Raw genomic sequence first — 11,635 nt, forward strand, 5'->3', positions numbered from 1 at the left:
GAACAGTATCCCAAAAGCTGAAGCCATCTTCCAAAGGGAGTTATTTCTATTTTTTTTTTCTTATCTTTGCCTCTATGTTTTCTTCCACTGTATAATAGGCCTAGTTATGGTATTTTACTTCTCTTGCTCTGCTCCATTAGCACTGGTGAGAAATCCCCTGCTCTCTTAGATGGTTGTATTTTTGGCTCATGAGCAACTTAAATAGAAGCATTTCCTGTTTGCACAGTTGAGGTGATAATGACTGAATTTTCTGGTTTGTGCTTTTATACATTTACTTATTTCAAGAGAAGCATGTATATTTGACCCAGGATTCAGATCCAATTGTAATTGATTGAGCTATGTCCCAGATACTGTCAGAATGATTCTTATGAGGCATGTATAGTTATATTTATTTTTATAGATAAGGAAGTAGAGATTCGAAAAGGTTAAGAAACTTATCCTAAGTCAATTAATGATACGGTAGAAGAATAACCAGCATAGAAAGAAAGACCTTTTCATAAGTAATTTTCCTTATCTTCTACTGCATTTTGTATGTGTGTCTATGTATATTTTTTGGTATTTTGTTGTGTGGCTTATGAGAGGAGTTACACACAATCTCTCCTTCCAGGGATATGCACTTTAACATAGAAATCACTGAGGCAGAAAGTATTTAAAAGTAACATGCTCAAAAAGATCATAATACAAATAATTCTTCACCTAAATTATTGTATTAGCCTCTTCTACTTCATAATATTTACTTAATATCTCTTTTCATCTCTGTTCAGTTTGTTTTTTTTGGCTAAAGCAATTTAGGATATGCTCTTTCCTTCTGCAAACTCAGGGTTGCTACATGGGTTGCAAAGGTAAAGATAAAGAGTGCTGACCAGTAGGCTGAAGTTTCTGCCCATAAATTCTCCTTACATCTTCCTGACCACACAATAATCCTGCCCTTGGATTTTCCTGTGCGTTCTCCCCACCCACTTCCAGTGGTTCATACTGGTTTCAGTTTGGCTAGACAAAAAGAATGGTTAGTGATAACTTTGTATGAAAAAGATGGATATAATTGTGCACATTTGTTAACTTTCTATACTACAGAGTTATCACCAGGATCAGATTCTTGTCTCCAGATAGATAATTCCTCAACACATTTGAAGGTGAATTTGGGATTTTTAGTGAAATAACAAAGAAATTCTATCCTCTATTTCTTGCCCACCCTCTATTTTGAGTTGATTTTTGTGTAGGCCATAAGATAGGGCCCAATTTTATTCTTTTGCCTAGGGTTATTCAGTTTCCCCAATATCAATTGTCAAAGAGACTGTTCTGTCCCCATTGTGTATTTTTGGAATCCTAGTTGAAGATCAGTTGACTATATATGCATGAATTTATTTCTGGGATCTCTATTCTGTTATGCTGGTCTATAGATGTCTTTATGCCAGTAGCATACTGTTTTAATTACTGTAGCCTGGTAGTATATTTTGATATAAGGAAGTGTAATGCCTCCAAGTTTATTCTTGGCTGTTTAAGGTCTTTTATGGTTTCATATGAATTTTATAATTGATTTTCTATTTCTGTAAAAATGTCATGGAATTTTGATAAGAATTGAATTGAATCTGTAGATCTTTGTAGTGTCTTAGCCTATTTTGCTGCTATGACAAAATACCACAGACTGAGTAATTTGCAAACAAAAGAAATTTATTTCTCACAGCTCTGAAGGCTGAGAACTTCAAGATCAAGGCACCAGTAGACTCAGTGTCTTATGAGTGCTACTATTTGCTTCAAAGACGATGCCTTCTTGCTAAATCCTCTGCAGAGTAAGTATGTTGTGTCTTCACATGACAGAAGGGACAAAGGGGGTCCCTGTCTGCCTCTTTATTAAGTCAGTAGTTCATTCATGAGGGTGAAGCCTTTATAGCTTAATCACTTCTGAGGGGCCCCCCTCTTAATGCTGTTGCATTGAGCATTAAGTTTCAACAAGAATTTTGGAGGGAACACAAACATGAAAACCATAACAGGTAGTATAAACATTGTAACAATATTAAGCCTTCCAATCCATGAACACAGAATGTCTTTCCATTTGTTTGTGTCTTCATTAATTTCTTTCATCAATGTTTTGTAATTTTCAGTGAACAAGTATTTCACTTGCTTAGTTAAGCTTATTCACAAGTATTTTTTGATGCTAATGTAAATAGGATTGTTTTCCTCATTTCCTTTACAGATAGTTTATTAGTATATAGAAATGCAACTGATTTTTGTATGTTGATGAAAATTCATAAATATGTGGAAATTAAATAATGCATTTTCAAACAAGTGGGTCAAAAAAAAATCAAAAGGGGATATAAAAAACACCTGACACAAACAACAATGAAAGTACAGCATACCAAAACTCCTGAGATACAGCAAAAATAGTGGTAAAAGGGAAGTTTATAGCAATGAATGCCTACATTAAAAAGAAGAAAAACCACAAATAAAAAACCTAACTCTATACCACAAGGAACTAGAATAATAAAAACAAATTAAACCCACAGTTATCAGAAGAAGGAAATAATACAGATTACAGCAGAAGGAAACAAGATAGAGAATAAAATAACAATAGAAAAACATCAATGAAACTCAGGTTGGCTTTTTGAAAGACAAAATTGACAAACCTTTAGCTAGACTAAGAAAAAAAGGAGAAAAGACAAATAAATAAATAAAATCAGAAATTAAAGGGGAAACATTCCAACTGTTGCCACAGAAATAAAAAGGTTACAGGAGACTACTGCAAACAATTTTATGCCAACAAGTTAGATAACTTATAAGAAATGGATACATTCTTAGAAACATATCACCTCCCAAGACTCAATCATGAAGAAATAGAAAGACTTATAACTAACAATAAGATTGAAACCAGAATCAGAAAACTCCCAACAAAGAAAGGCCCAGGACCTGATGCCTTCACTGGAAAGATTTACCTAACATCTAATAAATAATTTGTACCAATTGCTCTCAAATTCTTTCAAAATACTCAATAAGAAGGAACACTTTCAAACTCATTTTATGAGGCAAGCATTACCTTGATATCAAAACCAGAACAAGACACCACAAGAAAACAAAACTATAAGCCAATATCCTTGATAAAGATAGATGCAAAAATCTTCAATAAAATACTAACAAACTGGATTCAACAGCACATTAAAAGAATCATATACCATAACCATTTGGGATTTAACCCTGTGGTGCAAGGATGGTTCAACATACAAAAACCAATGTAATATACCAAATTAACAGTATGAAGGGTAAAAAAAAATCTCATGATTATCTCAATGGAGGCAAACAAAATTATTTGATGAAATTCCATGCTCTTTCACAATAAAAAGCTCTCAAGATTTTGTCACCACCAGGCCTGCCTTAAAAGAGCTCCTGAAGGAAGCACTAAACATGGAAAGAACAACCAGTACCAGCCACTGTAAAAACAGGCCAAATTGTAAAGACCATCAAGGCTAGGAAGAAACTGCATCAACTAACGAGCAAAATAACCAGCTAACATCATAATGACAGGACCAAATTCACACATAACAATACTAACCTTAAATGTAAATGGGCTAAATGCTCCAATTAAAAGGCACAGACTGGCAAATTGGATAAAGAGTCAAGACCCATCAGTGTGCTGTATTCAGGAAACACATCTCACGTGCAGAGACACACATAGGCTCAAAATAAAGGAATGGAGGAAGATCTATCAAGCAAATGGAAAACAAAAAAAAGGCAGGGGTTGCAATCCTAGTCTCGGATAAAACAGACGTTAAACCAACAAAGATCAAAAGAGACAAAGACGGCCATTACATAATGGTAAAGGGATCAATTCAACAAGAAGAACTAACTATCCTAAATATATATGCACCCAATACAGCAGCACCCAGATTCATAAAGCAAGTCCTGAGTGACCTACAAAGAGACTTAGACTGCCAGACAATAATAATGGGAGAAATTAACACCCTACCGTCAACATTAGGCAGATCAACAAGACAGAAAGTTAACAAGGATATCCAGGAATTGAACTCAGCTCTGCACCAAGCAGACCTAATAGACATCTACAGAGCTCTCCACCCCAAATCAACAGAATATACATTCTTCTCAGCACCACACCACACCTATTCCAAAATTGACCACATAGTTGGAAGTAAAGCTCTCCTCAGCAAATGTAAAAGAACAGAAATTATAACAAACTGTCTCTCAGACCACAGTGCAATCAAACTAGAACTCAGGATTAAGAAACTCACTCAAAACCGCTCAACTACACGGAAACTGAACAACCTGCTCCTGAATGACTACTGGGTACGTAACGAAATGAAGGCAGAAATAAAGATGTTCTTTGAAACCAACGAGAAGAAAGACACGACATACCAGAATCTCTGGGACACACTCAAAGCAGTGTGTAGAGGGAAATTTATAGCACTAAATGCCCACAAGAGAAAGCAGGAAAGATCTAAAATTGACACCCTAACATCACAATTAAAAGAACTAGAGAAGTGAGAGCAAACACATTCAAAAGCTAGCAGAAGGCAAGAAATAAATAAGATCAGAGCAGAACTGAAGGGGATAGAGACACAAAAAACCCTTCAAAAAATCAATGAATCCAGGAGCTGGTTTTTTGAAACGATCAACAAAATTGATAGAATGCTAGCAAGAATAATAAAGAAGAAAAGAGAGAAGAATCAAATAGATGCAATAAAAAATGATAAAGGGGATATCACCACCGATCCCACAGAAATACAAACTACCCTCAGAGAATACTGTAAACACCTCTAAGGAAATAAACTAGAAAATCTAGAAGAAATGGATAAATTCCTTGACACATACACCCTCCCAAGACTAAACCAGGAAGAAGTTGAATCTCTGAATAGACCAATAGCAGGCGCTGAAATTGAGGCAATAATCAATAGCTTACCAACCAAAAAGAGTCCAGGACCAGATGGCTTCACAGCCGAATTCTACCAGAGGTACAAGGAGGAGCTGGTACCATTCCTTCTGAAACTATTCCAATCAATGGAAAAAGAGGGAATCCTCCCTAACTCATTTTATGAGGCCAGCATCATCCTGATACCAAAGCCGGGCAGAGACACAACCAAAAAAGAGAATTTTAGACCAATATCCTTGATGAACATTGATGCAAAAATCCTCAATAAAATACTGGCAAACCGAATCCAGCAACACATCAAAAAGCTTATCCACCATGATCAAGTGGGCTTCATCCATGGGATGCAAGGCTGGTTCAACATACACAAATCAATAAACATAATCCAGCATATAAACAGAACCAAAAACAAAAATCACATGATTATCTCAATAGATGCAGAAAAGGCCTTTCACAAAATTCAACAACGCTTTATGCTAAAAACTCTCAATAAATTAGGTATTGATGGGATGTATCTCAAAATAATAAGAGCTATCTATGACAAACCCACAGCCAATATCATACTGAATGGGCAAAAACTGGAAGCATTCCCTTTGAAAACTGGCACAAGATAGGGATGCCCTCTCTCACCACTCCTATTCAACATAGTGTTGGAAGTCCTGGCCAGGGCAATTAGGCAGGAGAAGGAAATAAAGGGCAGTCAATTAGGAAAAGAGGAAGTCAAATTGTCCCTGTTTGTAGATGACATGATTATATATCTAGAAAACCCCATTGTCTCAGCCCAAAATCTCCTTAAGCTGATAAGCAACTTCAGCAAAGTCTCAGGATACAAAATCAATGTGCAAAAATCACAAGCATTCTTATACACCAATAACAGACAAACAGAGAGCCAAATCATGAGTGAACTCCCATTCACAATTGCTTCAAAGAGAATAAAATACCTAGGAATCCAACTACAAGGGATGTGAAGGACCTCTTCAAGGAGAACTACAAACCTCTGCTCAATGAAATAAAAGAGGATACAAACAAATGGAAGAACATTCCATGCTCTTGGATAGGAAGAATCAATATCGTGAAAATGGCCATACTGCCCAAGGTAATTTAGAGATTCAATGCCATCCCCATCAAGCTACCAATGAATTTCTTCACAGAATTGGAAAAAACTACTTTAAAGTTCATATGGAACCAAAAAAGAGCCCACATCGCCAAGTCAATCCTAAGCCAAAAGAACAAAGCTGGAGGCATCACACTACCTGACTTCAAACTATACTACAAGGCTACAGTAACCAAAACAGCATGGTACTGGTACCAAAACAGAGATATAGACCAATGGAACAGAACAGAGCCCGCAGAAATAATGCCGCATATCTACAACTATCTGATCTTTGACAAACCTGACAAAAACAAGCAATGGGAAAAGGATTCCCTATTTAATAAATGGTGCTGGGAAAACTGGCTAGCCATATGTAGAAAGCTGAAACTGGATCCCTTCCTTACACCTTATACAAAAATTAATTCAAGATGGATTAAAGACTTCAATGTTAGACCTAAAACCATAAAAACCCTAGAAGAAAACCTAGGCAATACCATTCAGGACATAGGCATGGGCAAGGACTTCATGTCTAAAACACCAACAGCAATGGCAACAAAAGCCAAAAATGACAAATGGGATCTCATTAAACTAAAGAGCTTCTGCACAGCAAAAGAAACTACAATCAGAGTGAACAGGCAACCTACAGAATGGGAGAAAATCTTTGCAACCTACTCAACTGACAAAGGGCTAATATCCAGAATCTACAATGAACTCAAACAAATTTACAAGAAAAAAACAAACAACCCCATCAAAAAGTGGGCAAAGGACATGAACAGACACTTCTCAAAAGAAGACATTTATGCAGCCAAAAGACACATGAAAAAATGCTCATCATCACTGGCCATCAGAGAAATGCAAATCAAAACCACAATGAGATACCATCTCACACCAGTTAGAATGGTGATCATTAAAAAGTCAGGAAACAACAGGTGCTGGAGAGGATGTGGAGAAATAGGAACACTTTTACAATGTTGGTGGGACTGTAAACTAGTTCCGCCATTGTGGAAATTGGTGTGGCGATTCCTCAGGGATCTAGAACTAGAAATACCATTTGACCCAGCCATCCCATTACTGGGTATATACCCAAAGGATTATAAATCATGCTGCTATAAAGACACATGCACATTATGTTTATTGTGGCACTATTCACAGCAGCAAAGACTTGGAACCAACTCAAATGTCCAACAAGAATAGACTGGATTAAGAAAATGTGGCACATATACACCATGGAATACTATGCAGCCATAAAAAATGATGAGTTCATGTCCTTTGTAGGGGCATGGATGAAGCTGGAAACCATCATTCTCAGCAAACTATCGCAAGGACAAAAAAAACAAACACTGCATGTTCTCACTCATAGGTGGGAATTGAACAATGAGAACACATGGACACAGGAAGGGGAACATCACACACCGGGGACTGTTGTGGGGTGGCGGGAGGGTGGAGGGATAGCATTAGGAGATATACCTAATGCTAAATGATGAGGTAATGGGTGCAGCACACCAATATGGCACATATATACATATGTAACAAACCTGCACATTGTGAACATGCACCCTAAAACTTAAAGTATAATAATAATAAAATAAAAAATAAAAAAATTTAAAAAATCTCTCAACAAATTAGGTATAGAAGGAATGTACCTCAACATAATAAAGATCATAAAGAAAAGTCCTGAGCTAACATCATACTTAACAGTGATTAACTGAAGTCTTTTCCACTAAGATCGGGAAGAAGACGAGAATGTCCACACTCATTGCTTCTATACAGTGTAATACTAGAAGTCCTAGCCTGAGTAATTAGGCAAGAAAAAGAAATAAAAGACATATGAATCAGAAAGGAAGAAGTAAAATTGTACCTGTTTGCAGATGACATGATTTTATATATTTAAAAAAACTCTAGAGATTACACACGTACCAAAAAAAACCTGTTAGAGCTAATAAATGAATAGAATAAAGTTGCAGGATACAAAATCAGCATACCTCCTCCACCCTCAAATGCATGAATTGTGACTTTTAGTAATATTTGCTCCAAACCAATAGTCATAGTGATAATCTCTTTACATAAAACGGGATCTGTGATGGTAAATTTATAGCTGGGAGAAAAGTGTTAGCTGCTATAACGAATTAAAAGAAATGGAAAGGCAATACATTTGTTATGGATTGAATTGTGTTCCCCTAAAATTTACATGTTGAAGTCTTAGCCCCTAATACTTCAGACAGGGTCACTTCAGGGAAAATCAAGTTAAAATGAAGTCACTAGGGTGGGCCGTAGTCCAGTATGACTGGAATCCTTATATAAAGAGGGAATTTGGAGACAGACATAAACACAAGACAACTTCTCCAACCTAGCAAGACAGGCCAACATTCAAATTCAGGAAATACAGAGAATACCACAAAGATACTTCTCAAGAAGAGCAACCTCAAGCCTCAAGACACATAATCATCAGATTCACCAAGGTTGAAATGAAGGAAAAAATGTTAAGGGCAACCAGAGAGAAAGGTCAGGTTACCCACAAACGGAAGCCCATCAGACTAACAGTGGCTCTTTTGGCAGAAATCCTAAAAGCCAGACGAGATTCAGGGTCAATATTTAACATTCTTAAAGAAAAGAATTTTCAACTCAGAATTTCATGTCCAGCCAAACTAAGCTTCATAAGTGAAGGAGAAATAAAATCCTTTACAGACAAGCAAATGCTGAGAGATTTTATCACCACCAGGCCTGCCTTACAAGAGTTCCTGAAGGAAGCACTAAATATGGAAAGAAAAACTGGGACCAGCCACTGCAAAAACATACCAAATTGTAAAGACACAACATATTAGTATCTCTGGGACACAGCTAAAGCAGTGTTAAGAGGGAAATTAATAGCACTAAATGTCCACAGGAAGAAAGCAGGAAAGGTCTAAAATCAACACCCTAACACCACAATTAAATAACTAGAGAAGCAAGAGCAAACAAATTCAAGAGCTAGCAGAAGACAAGAAATAACTAAGATCAGAGCAGAACTGAAGGACATAGAGACACAAAAAACCCTTCAGAAAATCAATGAATCCAGGCCAGGCACACTGGCTCATCCCTGTAATCTCAGCACTTTGGGAGGCCAAGGTAGGCAGATCATGAGGTCAAGAGATCAAGACCATCCTGGCCAACATGGTGAAACCCTGTCTCTACTAAAAATACAAAAATTAACTGGGCATGGTGGTGTGTGCCTGTAGTCCCAGCTACTCAGGAGGCTGAGACAGGAGAATCGCTGTAACCCAGGAGGTGGAGGTTGCAGTGAGCCAATATCATGCCACTGCATTCCAGCCTGGTGAGAGAGTGAGACTGTCAAAAAAAAAAAAAAAAAAAAAAAAAGAATCCAGGAGCTGGTTTTTTGAAAAGATTAACAAAATAAAGAATAAAAGAGAGAAGACTCAAATACATACACAAAAAAAAAATGATAAAGGGGATATCACCATTGATTCCACAGAAATACAAACTACCATCAGAGAATACTATAAACACCTCCACACAAATAAACTAGAATATCTAGAAGAAATAGATAAATTCCTGGACACATAGACCCTCCCAAGACTAAACCAGAAAGAAGTCGAATCCCTGAATAAACCAATAACAAGTTCTGAAATTGAGGCAGTAATTAATATCCTACCAACCAAAACATGCCCAGGACCAGCCAGATTCACAGCCAAATTCTACCAAAGGCACAAAGAGGAGCTGGAACCATTCCTTCTGAAACTATTCCAAACAATAAAAAAAAGAGCAACTCCTCCCTAACTCATTTTATGAGGCCAGCATCATCCTGACACCAAAACCTGGCAGAGACACAACAAAAATGAAAATTCCAGGCCAATATCCCTGATTAACATCGGTGCTAAAAATCCTCAATAAAATACTGGCAAACTGAATCCAGCAGCAGCACATCAAAAAGCTTATCCACCACGATCAAGTCAGCTTCATCCCTGGGATGCAAGGTTGGTTCAACATAAGCAAATCAATAAACGTAATCCATCACATAAACAGAACCAATGACAAAAACCACATGATTATCTCAATAGATGCAGAAAAGGCCTTTGATAAAATTCAATACCCCTTCATGCTAAAAACTCTCAATAAACTAGGTATTAATGGAACGTATCTCAAAATAATAAAAGCTATTTATGACAAACCCACAGCCAATATCATACTGAATGGGAAAAAGCTGGGAGCATTCCCTTTGAAAACCAGCACAAGACAAGGATGCCCTCTCTCATCACTCCTATTCAACATAGTATTGGAAGTTCGGGCCAGGACAATCAGGCAAGAGAAAGAAATAAACCGTATTCAAATAGGAAGAGAGGAAGTCTAATTGTCTCCATTTGCAGATGACATGATTGTCTATTTAGAAAACTCCCATCGTCCCAGCCGAAAATCTCCTTAAGCTGATAAGCAACTTCAGCAAAGTCTTAGGATACAAAATCAATGTGCAAAAATCACAAGCATTCCTATACATCAATAATAGACAAACACAGAGCCAAATCATGAGTGAACTCCTATTCACAATTGCTACAAAGAGAATAAAATACCTAGGAATACAACTTACAAGGGATGTGAAGGACCTCTTCAAGGAGAACTATAAACGACTGCTCAAGGAAATAAGAGAGGACACAAACATATGGAAAAAGATTCCACGCTCATGGATAGGAAGAATCAATAGCATGAAAATGGCCATACTGCCCAAAGTAATTTATAGATTCAATGCTATCTCCCTCAGGCTACCATTGACTTTCTTCACAGAATTGGAAAAAAGCTACTTTAAATTTCATATGGAACCAAAAAAGAGCCCATACAACGAAGACAATCCTAAGCAAAAAGAACAAAGCTGGAGTCATCACGCTACCTGAATTCAAACTATACTATAAGGCTACAGTAACCAAAACAGCATGGTACTGGTACTAAAACAGATATATAGACCAATGGAACAGAACAGAGGCCTCAGAAATAATGCCTCACATCTACAACCATCTGATTTTTGACAAACCTGACAAAAACAAGCAATGGGGAAAGGATTCCCTATTTAATAAATGGTGCTAGGAAAACTGGCCAGCCATATGCAGAAAACTGAAACGGGACCCCTTTCCTACACCTTATACAAAAATTAACTCAAGATGGATTAAAGACTTAAACCTAAGACCTAAAACCATAAAACCCTAGAAGAAAACCTACACAATAACATTCAGGACATAGGCATGGGCAAAGACTTCATGACTAGAATACCAAAAACAAGGGCAACAAAAGCCAAAATTGACAAATGGGATCTAATTCAACTAAAGAACTTCTGCACAGCAAAAGAAACTATCATAAGGGTGAACAGGCAACCTACAGAATGGGAGAAAATTTTTGCAATCTACTCATCTGACAAAGGGCTAATATCCAGAATCTACAAGGAACTTAAACAAATTTACAAGAAAAAAAAAACCCATCGAAAAGTGGGCAAAGGATATGAACAGATGCTTCTCAAAAGAAGACATTTATGCTGCCAACAAACATATGAAAAAAAGCTCATCGTCACTCGTCATCAGAAAAATGCAAATCAAAACCACAATGAGATACCATCTCACGCCAGTTAGAATGGCGATCATTAAAGTCAGGAAACAACAGGTGCTGGAGAGGATGTGGAGAAATAGGAATGC

The sequence above is a fragment of the Homo sapiens genome, chromosome 3, assembly GCF_000001405.40.
Source record: "Homo sapiens chromosome 3, GRCh38.p14 Primary Assembly".
In the NCBI taxonomy this organism is placed as follows: domain Eukaryota; kingdom Metazoa; phylum Chordata; class Mammalia; order Primates; family Hominidae; genus Homo; species Homo sapiens.